At 45.6% G+C, this 18,106-nt stretch overlaps 1 protein-coding gene and 1 long non-coding RNA gene across 10 annotated transcripts in view, besides 1 other annotated feature; one reads left to right on the top strand and one right to left on the bottom strand.

Moving 5' to 3' along the window:
* Positions 1-18,106, top strand: part of SRGAP3 (SLIT-ROBO Rho GTPase activating protein 3) — a 382,437-nt gene that overhangs the window by 104,157 nt on the left and 260,174 nt on the right. For 8 of the 9 annotated variants that reach the window (XM_047449335.1, XM_047449333.1, XM_024453842.2 and 5 more), the window contains exon 1: positions 9,225-9,986. The exons of the other annotated variant lie outside the window; for it this stretch is intronic. In XM_047449335.1, coding sequence (XP_047305291.1) covers positions 9,920-9,986 — 67 coding nt within the window. In that variant the 5' untranslated portion in view covers positions 9,225-9,919. Of the gene's footprint in view, positions 1-9,224; positions 9,987-18,106 lie in introns of those variants that run through there. 9 annotated transcript variants of the gene reach the window in all.
* On the bottom strand, positions 1,364-9,115 carry SRGAP3-AS4 (SRGAP3 antisense RNA 4). The gene is made up of 3 exons (NR_146969.1): positions 9,050-9,115; positions 1,871-2,112; positions 1,364-1,498 (listed from the first exon to the last, which is right to left on the bottom strand). It is a non-coding gene; the product is annotated as an SRGAP3 antisense RNA 4 (long non-coding RNA).
* Positions 9,207-9,446: an enhancer, noted in NCBI's record as "active region_19398". NCBI's record gives its function as "activates an Ori minimal core promoter by ATAC-STARR-seq in GM12878 lymphoblastoid cells {active_cell/tissue: GM12878}" and the evidence as "EXISTENCE:reporter gene assay evidence [ECO:0000049][PMID:35858748]".

Below are 18,106 nucleotides of genomic sequence, written 5' to 3'. Positions count from 1 at the left end.
CGCAAATAGGAGGGAGGCACGATCAGAGACAGAGGGACCAGCAGGGAGCTCTAAAGCTGTTCAGGTGGGAGAAATTGAGGCCTTGGGATCACGGAGAAAGGGCAGTAGCTAACCCTAGAGGGAGGCAGTATTCGTGTTGTAGCTCAATTCTGCATCCGAAAATACAGGGGGCAATGATAGCACCTGGTATGTGGTGCCACTGATAAGAGGATGCAGAGAGCTAGTGTCTATAAAGTCGCCAGTATTTTCAGTATGATGGTACGTGGCATCATCTTGTCTAACCCATCTTTGTCTCTCAAAATATTTTCTAGCTCCTTGTCTTGCCTGTTCTAGTCTGGTTTCCACACTGCCACTAGAGTCACCTTCCTCAAAGGCCAATCTGATGTCAGTTCCCTTCAGGGCTCCTGGGGGAACCCAGATGAAACTCCGAGCTTGTTAATACAGCCTAGGAAGCTTCTCACACTCCAGCCCATGTCTCTGTCCAGCATCACCTCTCCCACTCTCTGCCTGGCACTCTGCTCCAGCTATACCAATTGTCCCCTTGGCTCATGCAGTTCCCTTAGCTGGGAATACTTTCCCTCCCCTACTTGGGTGGGTTCTCTCCAGCTGTTTGTCTTTCTAAGCTCAGCTTAGAAATTTTCGCCTCCAAGAAACCGCTTCTGTGTTTCCAAGTCTAGGTCAAGTGCCCTTACATGAGATCCCATGGGACCCTGTGCTTCTCCATAATGTTGAATTACAATTGCCTGTTTACCAGTCTCTTCCATTAAACTGAGGTCTTCACAACAGTAGGAACTATCTCTGTCCAGTTCATGATTGTGCATATCTCAATGCCTAGACTATATCGAGTGCTTAAGATATATTTTGTTTAGGCCAAGTGTGGTGGCTTATGCCTATAATCCCAGCACTTTGGGAGACCAAGGCAGGTGGATCACAAGGTCAGGAGTTCGAGACCAGCCTCACCAAGATGGTGAAACCCCGTCTCTACTAAAAATACAAAAATTAGCCAGGCGCGGTCGTGGGTGCCTGTAATCCCAGCTACTCAGGAGGCTGAGGCAGGAGAATTGCTTGAACCTAGGAGGCAGAGGTTGCAGTGAGCCAAGATCATGCTACTGTGCTCCAGCCTGGACGACAGAGTGAGACTGTCTCAAAAAAAAAAAAAAAAAAAAAAAAAAGGAGCTATTTTGTTTAATGAGTGAGTAAATGAATTCGTAAAAATCATCTATTTATAGCATTTGGTAGACCACTCTCTTTTCCTATGCCCTTCTTTTGCACATTGTTATTATTATTTTTTTCAAACAACCATTATTTAGGCTTCCTAACCTGAATGTGTTAGCTTAGGGTGCCATAAAGAAATACCATATACTTGGGGGCTTAAAAATCAGACATGTATTTTCTCACAGTTCTGGAGGGTGGAAATCTGAGATTAGGGTGCCAGCATGGTCAGGTTCTGGAGCAGTCTCTTTTCCTGGCTTTCAGATGACCATCTTCTCAATGTGTCCTCATAGGGCAGAGAGAAAGAGAGAGAGTTCGCTTTGGTGTCTTCCTTCAAAGGGCACTAATCCCATCATAAGGGCCCCATCCTCATGACCTCATTTAACCCTAATTACCTCCCACAAAACCATTTCCAAATAGCATCACATCGAGAGTAAGAATTTCAACCCATGAATTTTAAGGGGACACAAGCATTCAATCCATTGCATACCCCATGCTTTAGAATTAAAAAAATATAAGGTGTAAATTATTTTGTGTTGGGCTTTCATAGGGGCAATATATAACACCTTTCTTTCCCATTTAGGTTCTGAACTAACTGAGGAATAGATAAAGAATGTAGACAGATGGAGATTTTAACAGATGCTTATGTGGCACTTACTGGGTGCCAGCTAACAACTTGCCCAAGGTCACACAGCTTATCAGTGGTGGAGCCAGGGTTTAAACTCAGCTCTAGAATCTATTCTTGTTATTCTGTTTCTTAAAGTGTAAGCTTTAAGCTAGATTGCAGGACATGGTAGGTATGTGTCCACCAGGCCAGTTAACTCTCCATCACCGACTTAGACTCTCCCAGGCAGTTGCAGAACCAGAGGTCTCCTCCACAGGGGCAGAATGCAGGCGGAGCTGAAAAGAGAAGATTAATGTGTGAACTTAGTCTCTCTCAAATTCACCAATCAGCTAAGTCACTTTTCCTCCCCTGGGGAGGAGTGGATGAGGGATGGGGAGTGGATGGCTGGAAATGTGCATCAGACTAAGGTCTCATCAAGGGAACAAGCATTCCCTCAAACCCAGTGGAAGCCATGCTGCAAATATCAGCTCTAGAAACTGTTCTTGTTACTCTGCTTCTCAAAGTGTAAGCTTTAAGCTAGATTGCAGGACATGGTTTAGGTGCATATCCACAGGGCCAGCTAACTCTCCATCAGGGACCTAGACTCTCCTAGGCAGTTGCAGAGCCAGAGGTCTCCTCTACAGTGGGAGATATTTAAAGCCTTTCCTGTCATCACTGGAAATGAGCAAACTTTGCTAGCAATGTAGTCAAGGGCTTGGGTGTTTGAAGTCTTTACTTCTGTTCTTCCAGAATTAGGATCTGGGGCTCAGCTGTGAATTGCTGTCACTGAAGCTGTCCAGTCCTTGGACACACACGCAGACATGTGGGCTGAGTAATGGGAATGTTCTTAGAAAGCCAGAGGACCTTGGCAGCATTGCCCAGCAGCTCCGTGACAGGTCCTGATGGCTGAGAGACTGATTTCCCATCCTTTCCTAAGGAAGCGGGGACTGGTGAACAGAGCATGTGTGAGGCCTGTGAGGTTCCTGTGTGCATTGCAGGGTCTCTCGGTAGAGCCTGGTACCTGGGTGGATGGGAGAACAAACACCAGATGCAGGGTCAGGTGACTTGATTTCTTGCCCAGCTCTCCCATTTGTTGTGAGCCATGGGATGCTGGGAAAGTCATTCAGCCTCCCTGTGCCTTCATTTGCTCAACTGTAAAATGGGAAAAATATAACCTATCTCAAAGGACTGTGTGAGGATCATGATACTAAATGAGAAGATGCTTTATAAGTATCAAGGCTGGATAATTTCAAGCTATTACTCCATCTTCCTTCTTTCCTGCATTGTTTTCGTTAGCAGACACACGTTGACTTTGCCCAACCTCCTCTTTCTGGAATAGCACCCTGATCCTCCTTTGGGAGCTCCTGGGGCTCACCTCTTGGGGCCATGTGGATTGTTCGGGACTGACTCCATCCCAAAGTGCCAGGGCAAGCCCACTCTACAGGCCTGGCCAAGCAGAACACCCCTGGCTCCAGCGATTGGTTCAGGGATAGCCAGGGGCCCCAGCAGGGGCCAGCTGACCATTCCAAAACTTTTGCTGGAACTCCTGGGAGAGACTTTGCCTTCCTTGCCAGGATTGCCAACCTGTGAGAATGTAAGCTTGGGGGTTTTGGGGGCCATCTTTGCCATCTTACAGGGAGAGCCTGCCACCATACAGAGGCAGAATGGAGAGCAGGAGGAAGACACAGTGTCCTGTGGGCATTGTTAGAGCCCGTGTTTCCAGTCATGCCTGACTTGTGTTCATTATGAGTGAGGTGGGCTAACATTTCATGTGTATTTCCCTTTCTGTGAGCTGCTGTTTATATCTATATCTTTAATTGACTTTTCTACTGGGTGGTTGGCATTATTCTCATAGATTTGTGGAAACTTTCTTTTCTTTTAGTAGTTATTCTTTGTTGAGGTCAAATTCACATAACATAAAATTTACCATTTTAAAGTGTACAATTCAGTGGCATTTAGCCCATTCACAATGTTGTACAACTGTCACCTCTGTCTAGTTCCAAAATCTACCTTTCTTTCTTCCTTTCTTTCTCTTTCTTTTTCCTTCCTTCCTTCCCCTTTCTTTCTTTTTCTTTTTCTTTCCCCTTTCTTTCTTTTCTCTTTCTTTCTTTCTTTCTTTTTCTTTCTCTCTCTCTTTCCCCTCCCTTCCTTCCTTCCTTTCTTTTCTTTCTCTCTCTCTTTCTCTCTCTCTCTTTCCTTCCCTCCCTCCCTCCCTTCGTTCCTCTCTCTCTCTCTCTTTTTCTTTCTTTCTTTTTTTCAGAGCCTTGCTCTGTTGCCCAGGCTGGAGTGCAGTGGTGCAATTGCAGTCACAGCTCACTGCACCCTCCACCTCTTGGGTGCAAGTGATTCTCCCACCTCAACCTCCCAAGTAGCTGGGACCACAAGCATGGACCACCACGCTTGGCTAATTTTTGTTTATTTTTTGTAGAGAAGAGGTCTCTCTATGATGCCTAGACTGGTCTCGAACTCCTGAGCTCAAGCGATCCTCCTGCCTTTGCCCCACAAAATACTGGGATTACAGGCATGAGCCACTGCTCCTGTCCCAAAACATTTTAATGATCACCAAAGAAACTTGGTACTTCCTATTAAGCAGCTACTGCCTGTCCTCGCTCTTTCTAGCCCCTGACAACCACTCTTCTGTGACCATAGAGATGGAATTTCCTATGGATATATCTATTCTGGATATTTCATATAAATGGACTCATATAATCTGTGTATTTCTTTGACTTAGCATAATATTTTTAAGGTTCCTCCATACTGTAGCATGTATTGGTACTTCATTTCTCTTTATGGCTGAGTAATATTCCATCATATGGATATGCCATTTTTTGTTTATCCATTCATTCAAACAACATTTGGGTTGTTTCTATCTTTTGGTTGTTGTGAATTGGGCTCCTACGAATATTCATGTATGAGTATTTGTTTGAATTGATATTAGAAAAATTATTCTTTGGCCTATGATAGGTGTTGCAACTATTGTTTCTGAGCTTGCCATTGGTCTTTGACTTTGCTTTTGTCAAGCAGAATTTTGTAAGTATTGTTCTGTGGTTGAATTTGTCAGCTTTTCCAGCTAATGGGTTTTGTGACACAGTTGGAAAGGTCATCCTTATAACTTGAGGTTATAAAACAACTGTACCATCAAAACCTCTGCTTATCCACGTATTTCCTTACCAATGAAACAGGTATTGAAAACAGCCCTACTTGCCATTCCGTCCCCTCCCAGGGTTATTGTGAGGACCACATACGACAAATGATATGAAAGAGCCTTACAAAATATAAAGCAATATATACACATTAGGCATGTTGTCATCATCACTATTAATTCTATTAAAATCTGCCATCAACTAGCTGAGTTCTGCTTGTTGCTTTCATTTTGCAGAGCAGGGCTTGAAGGGCAGAATTATTCACTGAGCTGCCCAAGGATGTATTTGCTGGTAGCAACGTGGAGAATGTTACAAAATTAGTCATCTCGGCGAGGGGGAGGTGTTCATATTCGACCAGAAAAATAAAAGTACTTTCAACCAAAAACTATTCTGGCCACTTTTCCTTCAGATGAAGCCTTTTTTCTTTCTACCAGGAAAAGAAACCGGTTCAGTGAGTTTTGCATTGTTTAGCTGTTATTGTAATTTATGCCTCACTAGTGGTCACTTGTGACATGTTTTCCTTATATTTTTAACCCCAAATTCTTTTTTTAAATGGAAAACTTTACGTTGAACTCCGTATTGAAACAATGTAATTATAGGGAATGAAAAAATGGGTTATTACTTGATAGCAATTATTCCTATGCTGATTCCTCCGGGATAGAATCGTGCACTGTTTAAGTCCTTGGGCTCCGCTATGAGCCATACCTGGGCTTCAGTGCAATTAAGTTACTAGCTAGCTTTGTGATCTTGGGTAACTTGCTTCACTGCTCTTGGCCTCCGTTTACCCAACTTCAAAACAAGGATGATTTACATCACTGGACTCATGGGGCTGTAGCAAAAAATCAGTGATAAAATCTACATAGAGTGCTTGGCCCTGTGCTTGTGTGCAGGGAGAACTTGGTAAATACTAGCTATCAGTATAATTTAGGAAAATCTAAAAGAATTCAGGAGATGAGCCCCAAGGAAATGGAATAAACACTTCCAGGGGCTTTTCTGGTCCTTAGTGGGTGGCATAGATCAAATCACATGGTAGAGGCCCTCCCCTCACACCTACCACATTTATTTGGAGACAAATCTGGTTTCTGTTACTACCATGTGAAGGGTAAACATTGGGAATAGCAGTTGGTTCTCAGACAGCAAGGAAAAAGTGGGCTCACAGAGGAGGAGTCACAGGAGGGCAGCGGGAGGGCTGGGGTGGGCTGTGGGGAGGACTGGAAGGGTGAGGACCTGGTGCTGGGGGCCTGCCCAGGTCACACCCACATCTTCTTGGGGATAGAAGATTCCAGATGATGTGGGTTTATTGTGTGTGGTGATGGATTTTTCAGGGGACACAGACCTTTTCCTCTTTTTTTTCCTCTCTTCCTTTTCCCAATCTGGGTATCTGTGGAGACCAAGCTCTAGTCCTAGGTCTGGCTTGGCTGGGCCCTGTATTAGTCCATTTTGCATTGCTGTAAAGGAATACCTGGGGCTGGGTAATTAAAGAAAAAAGTTTTATTTGGTTGGGTGTGGTGGCTCACTCTGCAATCCCAGTACTTCGGGAGGCTGAGGTGGGAGAATTGCTTGAGACCAGCCTGCCCAACATGGTGAGACCCCCATCTTGAGAAAAAAAAAAGTTTTATTTGGCTCATGGTTCTGCAGGCTATACCAGCATAACACCAGCATCTGCTTGGCTTCTGATGAGGCCTCAGGAAGCTTCCAATCATGGTGGAAGGTGCAGGCATATCACATGGTGAGTGAGGAAGCAAGGAAGAGGAGCGAGGTCCCAGACTCTTCATCAACCAGATCTCTTGTGAACCCATTACCGTGGGGTGGACACCAAGCCATTCCTGAGGGATCCATCCCCATGATCCAAACACTGCCCACCAGATCCCACCTCCAACGTTGAAGAACACATTTCCACAGCTCTAAAAAAGAAATTATGTCTGTGAGACTTCTGCTCTATGCCAGGCACTTTAAATCCATGATCGTGTTGGATCCTGTGCCATGGGTGGATCACTACCCTATGACAGATGAGGAAACCAAGACTCAGAGAAGGTGTATTCCTCCATGAGCCCCACACACAGCTGGTGCACAGCAGAGCCAGAAGGTAAACCACCATCTGACTTACTCCAAAACCCAGCCTCTGCCAGGTGTCAGCTCAGAGCGCTATACCATCTTTGGCCTTGGTTTTGTATGGCTTTTTGTGACATTTTTGTGACATTTCCATGGCTCAGCACCCTACACATAGGTCTCCTAGAACTATTTGTGGATTTAAAATTTTAATAATGGTGAAAATAGCTGACATTTACTGAGTTCCTGCCACCAGTGGGCACACAAGCAGGTTGAGCCACTTGCTCAAGTTCTCATGAGCTCAAGGCTCGTGGCAGAGCCAGGAGAGGATCCAGTCTGTCGTACTCCAAGGTGTATGGTTTTAACTTTCATTTTTCTTGAAGAATCTAGACTTGCAGCAGGGATGTTAATCTCTGTGCCCATCTTTCTCAGGTAACGTGGGGCTTTTGTGGGTTTGAACTAGTTAGAAGAGGACAGCAAAGGGCCTGAACATGTCCAGGGGAGGCGTGAGGCAGTGGGGTGATGGCAAGGGCTGCGGGCCAGTGGCATCTATTTCTGAACTGGTGACCTCCTGCCTCCGGGTACAAGGCTATAATAAGCCCCATGATTCACCAGTTGGACTTCTCCCTGTCGTTGCTCCAAGCAGGTCTTGTGCTTTGCCACCTGTGGGCCCCAGCTCATGCTGTGTGCTCCAGGAGAACATCCTGCCCCGCCTCACTCCCTTTGCCATACTTGCCTGGGGACGCCCACTGCAGCTGCCATGTCCTCTAGGAAGCCTTGATGGACTAGCATGGATAACCTATTCATTTCTGAGTCCAAACAGAATCATTTATTATAGACTCAGAAAAAGGCAAATGGAAGACTATACCTATTTTGAGAAATTTGGGAACATTTATCTCAGGGGACAGTCAGGGGCCAATACACATTAGTGACAATCTTAGCATATGAAATTCCAGTGATCAGCGACTCTTTAGTGCTTGACTCAGTTTTTACAGAATGAATCTTATTCTACCTTAATTCCACATGAAATGGGTTTGGTCTCCCTTGTAGAATGCAGGAGACTTTGAGCCTGGGTTGGAAGGCTGGTGACCTTGGGTAAGTCACTTCCCATATCTGAGCCTCTGCTCCTTTGTCTGTGAAAGAGTGGTGCTTATACCTATGTTGTTAGGTTGTTGGGGGATATAAAAGGGTAATAACAGTTGCTACTGTTTATTGAGTGCTTGCTATGCACCAGAGACTGTGCTAAGCTTAGCTTTGCATTTTTCTTTGATCTTTTCAAGAGCTCCTCTCATTCCCGATGTTCCTTACCCTGCAATATTTTTTCCCATAGCACTTTACATTTTGTATGATATTATATAATATACTTACTGTGCTTATTTTTGGTCTTCCTCTCCCAGGGCCTCTTGCCTCGTACAACTCCAGGGGGCACCATTCACAATGCTTTCTACTCCAGGGGTGCTTTTTACTAAGAATATTAGCATGAATGGTGGAAACTGCTGGAGTTGTGTGATGTGGAGCCCCGGGAGCTTCAGAAGGTCAGGGATTTTTGTGTGTGCCAGTTCTGATCATTGCTGTATCCCTGTACCCAGAACGGTGCTAGACCTATAGTAAGCATTCAGTAAATATCTGTTGAAAGAATGAATAACATAGCCTCCAAAGAGAGCTGATTTTACTATCTAGGAAACTGAGGCTCAGTCTGACTTATGAATTTGCCCAGAGCCCCACAAGCCAATGACCCACCCAGCTGTTCTGCCTCCAGTGTGCCTGCTCTGCGTGGCTTTGCTAAGCTGCATGCCTTTAACTCCTCGCATCGTCTCTGCCACCAAGTAACTGCTCAACAAATATTGATGCTTTTCCCTACATGGGTCAGGCCCTCTGCTAGACTATCCCAGTAGAGTGACAAACCATCATATAGCTGTTGATTCCAGAAACTGAATTAAATTGCACAGTGCAAAAAAAGGGAGGATCTTAAGTTTTTGGAAGAAAAATCCCTAACCCAAGTGCTAATGTTTGGAGTTTGCAGAAGCCTCTCAAGACTTACCAACCCGATTACTTTTCCTGCTGCCTTCCCTTTTGTGAGCGTTTCTTCCCCTTTTTGCTTGCAGTGAGTTCTGCTCTCCTGTAGGCTACAATGTGTCAGTTGTTATAAAATCCGGGAGGCGGAGTCTAGTGACGTGAGCAGTGGGGGAGAGCTCAGCCAGCCCTGCAGGGCGAGCAGTCCAGCCTTGTGTTCACCGGAGCTTAAGCGTTGCAGCAGGAAAACTTCCATCTCGCTCTCCTGGCTTTGATCCTCACTGGACATCAGACCAGAGGCACCGAAGGGAGGGAGGATGCGAGATGACCGGCCCTTTGGCAACCTGACCATCGACTTAGCAGAGCCTTCAAAAGCAAGCCAGGGGCTGGCTGCACGACCAAAGAGGCGCCGCGCCTCTCGTGGATGTGTGTGTGTGAGTGATCCAGCGAGTGTGTGTGCGTGTGAGGGTGTGTGTGTGTATGCCTGTGTGCACAGCACAACTGTGTGCGTGTCCCGGTGAGTGTGCCTGTGCATGCGTGAGTGTGTGTACGTGTGCATGTGTGTGTGAGTGCGCTTGGTTATTACTATTATTATTATTTTTGGAAGAAAAATCTTTGAAAATCTGGGGCAGGTTACTGTGCTCCTAGGGTGATTCTTCTTTTGCAAGAGGAGCTGACCAGGGCAAGCTACTAGAGCCATTTCTCGGCAAGTAAAGAGATTTTTCCTTCCAGAAGGAGAAGGATTTTTCTCCCTGCTCTGCAGCCAAGTGAAAGAGATTAGTCCCTAAACCTGTGAAATCGACCAGAGCTGTGTGATTACCAGGGCTTGAGAGAGGACTCGAAAAGAAAAGGAGAAATAAATCAAACAGCCTGTCAGTTCCTTTGGCCACGTCAGAAGATGTCATCTCAAACTAAGTTCAAGAAAGACAAAGAGATCATTGCTGAATATGAAGCCCAAATAAAAGGTGAGATGCGGGCTGGGAGAGTTTTCCTTCTCCTCCCCTTTCGTTTTTCTCTTGTTCTGGTTCCCATCCCCCGCTGCCCCCCGTTTTCCTCTCTGCCATTATGAAATGTTATGCATCAATAATCTTTTTGTGAGGAGTAACAGTGGCAGCCGCACAAGTCCGGACTGGTTTCAACTGCAGATAGCGCTGGGGCTGGGAGTGTGGATTATGGAATGGGCAGCAGTCTCTGCATTGCAGGTGTGTGAGGAGGATCCTATGCCTGACTTTAGGAGTGTCGCTGATACCCCATCATCTTGGCGGTGACATGTCACTCTAAGGCCATTTTGATAGTCACTACCTCCACCCCTTCCCTGCCATGGTAAAAGCCCTTTAATATTGGGGTATTTTTTTACCATCTGCTCTTTTTTTCCTCCCCCTTTTTGGTTTCTGTTGGTGGTGGTGGTTTTGCCTCCGCCTCTTTCTCTGGGCCGGAATTCACATGCATGTGCACAGCGAGGCAGCATCCCTGGGCGGCACTTCTTTGTCGGTGTCTCTGGGCTGGCCTGGGTTGCCATGGATTAACTGTTATGGGGCATATTGATCCAGACTAATGCAGGCATTTGGGCATAAAAAGGGAGCTTGGTGCAGAAAATGTATTATCTCGCAGTGTGCAGCCCAATCACTCTGTGCCCTGGCGTTTAGGTTCATCAGCTTTCATTCAAAGCCAACACCTCGGCATGCCGTTTGGGCTGGTCAGCGCTGCCTGGCTTCCGGGGTTCCAGGAGAAGCCTGCCGGGAGGGCGAGATGACCTCTGGCTGCTGGTTGCACCTTCTGTGCCACCGGGTGTATACTTCTTTCAGAAGCCGCTCCCTAAATCCACGCTAGCCAGGCGAAATAGGAAAGGGAACACAATTGCATGGCTAAATGCGGGCTTGCCGCATCCTCATTCAGGCCAGACTGGGGCTTCTCCCACCCCTACACGTTCTAGGCTCAGCTTTGGCAAGGAAAATCTAAAAGCTCCATCCAGCAGGCTCCTCCTTTCTCTGAGGATGTGCCCTGTGGGAAGCCTGGGCTCGTGCCTCTTGGCGTCCGCTTTCTTTCTGGTCATGGTTCTCCTTGCTGCGACACAGGGTGTGTTGTGGCCTCTCCTAGAAAGAGTAAAGACAAAATGCATCTTCAGCGGACCTTGAGGCCTATCTTTGAGGTTATGCACAGGCTGTTGAGCAAGTTGGGTATTTGGGGCTCAAGCAACCTGAGGTTGCCACACCTGCTTCTGGGCGCTGCTGCAACTGAAGACCCAATGACCCAGGGAGCTGGGTGGCCTCCTTAAAAGCAGCGGGAAGGCTGGGCACCGCAGCTGCCATACACGCTTCAGATGCTTGGGAAACTTTGGGAGTGGAGCAGCCACGGGGGGAGGGATCTGTTTTTTTTCCAGTCTCACCAACAGTCTTTTTGCCTTTTAGTCCTGGTCAAAAGCCCAGCGTGCTCATCACCTCTGGGCATATCCTAGGGCAAGAGGAGCAGAAAACCCTGCTCTTCCCTGGTCTCCTGTCTTTGGTTTTTCAGTTCAATGTGGAAAACAGTGACTTACGATGTCTCAGCCTTGCTGAAAATTTAGAAATAAGCGCTTTATTGGTCAGAGATTTTAATTCACCCAACTGCTCAATACAAAAGCCTAGTTTCAATCTTTGAATAGACTCTTTTTAGGGAGTTTATGTTTTATAAAATGAATTTGGCCAATTATTATTATTTTATAAAAATTAAGGTTGCCATGAAAATGCCTTGAGAGAGAAGGGGATGTTGAGTTTTGGACAGTTCAGGTTTTATGATATTTTCTTGGTAGGAAATGTGCTTATCTCATTTTGGAAGGATTGCTACTACTGGGCCAGTGAACTTTTCTTCAGGGCCAGTTAGGCATTAATTGCCCTGGCTGATCCTTTTGCTTTTTACCTTTCATCTTTTATTTTAACAACTAAGCAGCGAGTACCCTGAGTTTTATCAGAAATACACCAATTACCAGGCATTCATCAGGAAATGTGTCCAAATGATCTTGTCTCTTCCAAATACTAAATTTCCTTGCATTCTGGCTAAAGGAGTTACATCTTATTCCTTTAGAATTGACACCCACAAGGTCAGGTCAGGATATGGCTGTCCCTGAAACCCTCTGGAATCTTTTCTTTTAAAATTCTGTGTGTTAATCACCATCATAATTATTGATGTGTGTCTAGGGCCCTGCATTTTCTATGGCTAACTCCCAGACATCACTTACTCTTGGCCCACACAATGTACAGTAGGGTTAGTGTGAACTCAGTTTCAGAGACAAGGAAACTGAGGCCCAGTTAATGTTAAATGACTTGCCCAAGGTCACAAGGCCGATTTTCTCCCAGGCTTGTGTTCCCTGACACATTGTTTGCCCGAAGCTGCCCCTTGAAGGATTGATGTCAGCAGCAGATGGCAGTTTTGTGGGGGGACTGGCAGCCTCTTGATGGAGTTCCATTGTTTACCCTCTTACTTTCATCCCGTTGCCTTTGTTGCATGCCTCTGAAGAACATTTGACCAGTCACCAAAAACAGTGCCCGAGGCCAATTACCTTTCTCCCTGGGAATCATCTGGCCAGTGGGATGCAAAAAGTCCACCTAGTCAGACAGATTTTGTGCTTTGTGAATTTTGTGAAGGGAACTTTTGATTTTTAAAAACAGTGCTGAGTTCTTTGTTGACTTGTTCCCTTTTATGTCTTTTTCAAGAATTTATAGACCTAACACAAAGGAATGTTTTAGAACAGTATTTTTTCTATTGTAAAATAGAAGGATTCATGCCTTCTCTTGCCTCATCAGATACTTGAAGCCTTTTGATTATGAAGCAGTAGTAAACCATATGCTTGCACATTTCTAGTGATGGGGAACTCACTACCTCCCAAGCCCACGTAGTCTATCATCTTTGGACAGCTCTGGCTCTTGTAAGCATTTTTTCTTTTTTCTTTTGTGACAGAGTCTCTCTGTGTCGTCCAGGCTGGAATGTAGTGATGTCATCTTGACTCACTGCAATCTCCGCCTCTTGGGTTCAAGAGATTCTCCTCCCTCAGCCTCCCGAGTAGCTGGCATTACAGGCACGTGCCACCACATGTGGCCAATTTTTGTATTTTTAGTAGAGACGGGGTTTCACCATGTTGGCCAGGCTGATCTCAAACTCCTAGCTTCAAGTGATCCACCCGCCTTGGCCTCCCAAAGTGCTACGATCATAGGTGTGAGCCACCGTGCCTGACCCTTGTAAGCATTTTTTCTTATGTTGCATTGAATATGTCTCTCATCTACTTATTGGTTCTATAGTTCCTTTCCCTTTGGACTTCACAAAATAAGACAGATGTGTCTTCCCTTGGACTGCCCACTGGGTGTGTGGAGCCTGGGAATATAACCCCTGACAATGATTATCCTCATATAATAGGATGGTTCGCTACCACTTACCATCTCCACTCTCCTCTGTCTCTACTGCATCCTGGGTTGCAAACCTCAGTGTCATTGGGTGCTTGGCAGATAGAATAAATGGATAAAGTTGGCCACGTGAAACAATTTGTGGCAGCTGGCCTACCACCTCAGTGCAGGCAGTAGAAGGGTGGTGGTGGTGATTGTGACGGACTTCAGAGTACATGTTCTGTCTAAATGGGCAGTCACTACTTAGGTTCAACCAATTATTGCTGTTTAGGAATGTAGGCCCAGACAGATTTTTCAATTTTTCAACAGATGCCAGAAATCTGGATGAGAGCTTTATGTTTTTAAAGAGATTTTGCCAAAAGGACCTCCAAAAGATTATATTATCAGTATCCTATTTCAAGAGTGGCACTGAGTTCTAAATGTGGTTCTCTAGATGTGGCCAAAGACAGAAAACAACTATCACCTCCTTTCTGCTGTCTGCAATACTACTATTAACATAGCCCAAGGATTGAATTAGCCTTTGGTGCTGCTCACCCCCTCAGTGCACCATGTATATTAAGTCTGCTGTGTTTCTCCAATACACTAGCCTAGGAGCCTTGTCAGAGAGAAGAAAATGAAATGCATTTAACATGACTTGTTCTTGGTGACCCCATGCTGGTGCCAAATGGACATTACTTCCTGTCCTAGGTGCTCATAAGTGTCCTTAACAAATCTGTTTAAGAACCTTGCCGGGAGTGATATCATATTATCTAGTCTGGAACTGGCAAACCATAACATTTTTCCCCTTTTGAAAATCAGAACATTTGCCAGGCTCCAGCTTTTTGGCACCTATCCTATTCTCTACAATTCCCTCAAAGATCACTGATGATATTTGGTGATCTTATCTGCAGGCTTTCTCAGTATCCTGGGGCTCTAATTCATCTTGCTGCCAGACATGATGGTTAGTTCTGCATCTATTCAGAGTTCCTATTTCCATTGCAACCTGATAGAAAATTGAAATAGAAATGCAATGATTGACTTTGGTGCTTTTTTTTTTGTTACATATTCATCCATCTTCTTAGTAGCAAAAGTCTAGAGGTTTGAGGAAGAAGGGCAGGTATGGAGGATGACCACAGAGGGGCATGTATTTATTCATTCATTTCTGCACTAATTCAACAAAAGTTGATTATCTACATTGTACCTAGTCTTGTGCTGAGTGTTGTGAGAGACACAAAGTATATGATACATTCTTTGCTTTCTAAGAGTTTTCTTGGAATATGGTGATAAAAATGAGAGAAAGAAATAAAAAAATCCCAAACACAAAAACTTCGAGAGCCAGAACGAACTGAATCTTAGAGCGTATATCATGCAGTGATTAGAAGATCACCTTAGGAATGCTCGCTGGTTTCAACAGGATAAAATGAAGAAAGCAGGCTGGGCTGGGCAAACAGAGGGGAGTAGTGGGGGCTGTGGCCAAGTGGGGAGTTCCTCTAGAGAAGGCAGATGCTGCTCCAGCCTGCTCTTCCTAGGCAGGAATGTGAGCCCAGAAAGGTCAGTTCCTTCAGTGTTTCAAGGGAATCTGGATTTTTAAGCAAAATCTCTTGATTTTTAAATGGTGGCTTAAAAATTTAAAAACACTATGCTTCCTGAACAAACATGTCGGTAGAACAGTTTTAGCCTGTTGGGCCACCAGTTTGCAAAATCTGGTCTACAAGTTGAAGTCCGCACGAAGCCTTGGTGAGGGGCCTCAGCCAATTTTCCTATTTCATCTTCAGTCATTTTCTCTGTGATAGGCTTGTGCTCTTATAAACGCAAAAAACCAGTCCCTTTTCTCTCTCTCTCTCTCTCTTTTTTTTTTTTTTTAAGACAGAGTCTCTCTCTGTCACCCAGGCTGGAGTGCAGTGGCACAATCTTGGCTCACTATAACCTCTGCCTCCCGAGTTCAAGCAATTCTTGTGCCTCAGCCTCCCAAGTAGCTGAGATTACAGGCATGCGCCACTATGCCTGGCTAATTTTTGTATTTTCAGTAGAGACGGGGTTTCACCATGTTGGCCAGACTGGTCTTGAACTCCTGACCTCAAGTGATCCGCCTGCCTCGGCCTCCCAAAATGCTGGGATTACAGACGTGAGCCACCATGCCTGGCGACCAATCCCTTTTCTCTAAATCCTCCATACCCTTCCCCTCCTCCAGGTCTTTCCCATTTGTGCCTTTACTCTCCTTACCCCCTGCCTCCCACTCCTATTTGCCTCAAATACTTCTGATCGCCCTTCAATGTCTACTCAAATGATGCCTTCTTCCACGATGCCTTCCAAACTCTTCTAGGCAGAATTAGTGGTCCCCTCATATCTCCCCCTCTGTTCCAAACCTTATAATCCTTAATTGAAATTTTATGTTTAGGTCTTTGGCCACGAACTCTTGAGGGCAGAGAGGCTTATGGTCATCTTTGTTTCTCCAAAGTGCTTGGCATGTGATTGGTTGAAGGAGTGGCTGATAAGTTACTAAAATAAGTTTAGGCTGGGCTCAGTGGTTCATGTCTGTAGTCCCAGCACTTTGGGAGGCCAAGATGGGTGGATCACTTGAGCCCAGGAGTTTGAGACTAGCCTGGGCAACATGGCAAAATCCTGTCTCTACAAAAAATACAAAAATTAGCCAGGTGTGGTGATACATGCCTGTAATCCCAGCTACTCAGGAAGTTGAGGTGGGAGGATTGCTTGAGCCCAGGAGTTCAAGGCTGCAGTCAGCCATGATCATACCACTGTACTCCGGCTTGGGTGACAGAATGAGGCTGTCTCAAAAAAAGAAAAAGTTTTAATCTTATAACTCATAGCTCAGTGTTTTTGTTTTGTTTTGTTTTGTTTTGTTTAGATGGAGTCTTGCTCTGTCTTCCAGCCTGGAGTGCAGTGGCACGATCTTGGCTCACTGCAACCTCCACCTTCTGGGTTCAAGCAATTCTCCCGCCTCAGCCTACCGAGTAGCTGGGACTACAGGCACTCGCCACCATGCCCAGCTAATTTTTGTATTTTCGGTAGAGATGGAGTTTCACCATGTTGCCCAGGCTGGTCTCAAACTCCTAACCTCAGGTGATCCACCCGCCTCGGCCTCCCAAAATGCTGGGATTTCAGGCGTGAGCCGCTGTGCGGCTTCAGCTTTTTTCTTTGATATCCTTCTTAGTTGGCTTGGGCTGCTATAACAAAACACCATAGCCCGGATGGCTTTTATTTACTTCTCAGAATTCTGGAGGCTGGGAAGTCCAAGATCAAGGTGTTGGCAAGTTCAGTTCCTGGTGACGGCCTGCTTCCTGGCTTGTAGACAGCTGCCTTTAGCCATGTGCTCATCTGGCCTTTCCTTAGTGTATGCTTATGGAGAGAGAGAAATCTCTCCCTTTCGCTCCTTCCTCTTTTTTTTTTTTTTTTTTTTTTGAATTAGGGTGTCATTCTGTCAGCCAGGCTGGAGTGCAGTGGTGTGATCTCAGCTCACTGTAACCTCCACCCCCTGGGCTCAAGTGATCCTCCCACCTCAGCCTCCCGAGTAGCTGGGACTATAGGCGCACACCACCATGCCTGGCTCTTTTTTTGTATTTTTGGTAGGGATGGGGTCTCACCATGTTACCCAGGCTTGTCTTGAACTCCTGAGCTCAAGCAATCCACCCGTCTTGGCCTCCCAAAGAGCATTATTACAGGAGTGAGCCACTTTGCCTGGTTGGCTTTCTTCCTCTTCTTATAAGGGCACTAATACCATCAGGAGGGACCCATCTTCATGATCTTATCTAACCTTAATCACCTCCCCAAGGCTCCACCTGCAAATACCATCACACTGGGGGTTAGGGCTTCAACATATGCATTTTTGGGGGACATAAACATTCAACTCATAATAACATCCACGCTTCCTATTCTATTGAAAGTAGAGGTTTCACTGGGAGAGGAAATATTCTTAATGGTTTGCTCGATTTCCTTGCATTTCCTTGGTAGATGAGATGTTTCTTAGTGGAGATTTGGTGAAGGCTGTTATGTTGACAGCCGTCTCAGTGGGGTGTGGTCTAGGGAGCACTTCCTTCCAGGCCCCTCCCAGTCTGGGGAAATTAATGGATCTGAGAGTTCATATTAGCCATTTCTGGAGTTTTTACTACTAGAGTTTATATGTTGGAGATGACATTTCCTTTCCAGAAACTCCTATTATTCATTCATTCAGTGACTTTGTAAGCCATGCTTCAGGCTGTATAGCTTTATTTAGCAGTGGGAGGTAATTCATTTTTTTTTTAGCTTCTATGTCTCAGTCATATATGGAGTATCTAATTTTGTGATCCCTGTAACTCTGTGAGGTAGTCATTATTATTTTCATTTTATAGATTAAAGTCTGAAGTTCAGAGAAATAAAACAAATTGCACTGGATTGCACAGTGAACAGTGGCAGAGCTAGGTTTAATTCAGCATCTTCCTCACTTTCCGGGGTGCACGAAAGCAACATGCATGCCAAGGCAACAAGGGGTTCCTTCAGTGGGGGAAGTGTGGGGTGGGTCTTAACCTTTGACTTCCTTCCCTTCCTGACACTTCCACACTCCTGCTAATCCAGCCTCTCCTAGTTTGCACTTGATGCCACCGCGGTGTGTCAGATCCCTTCAATCCCACCCCAGGAAGTCACCTTTGGGAAAGTGTCCACTGCAAAACTGCCCGCACGGCTGTGATGCAGGCTGCCAGAGCTACCTCTCACCAGCCAGCCCAGTCCACCACCAACCT

The sequence above is a fragment of the Homo sapiens genome, chromosome 3, assembly GCF_000001405.40.
Source record: "Homo sapiens chromosome 3, GRCh38.p14 Primary Assembly".
Lineage (NCBI taxonomy): Eukaryota > Metazoa > Chordata > Mammalia > Primates > Hominidae > Homo > Homo sapiens.
The sequence above is the reverse complement of the archived record's forward strand: the minus strand, read 5'-3'. Positions and strand labels throughout refer to the sequence as shown.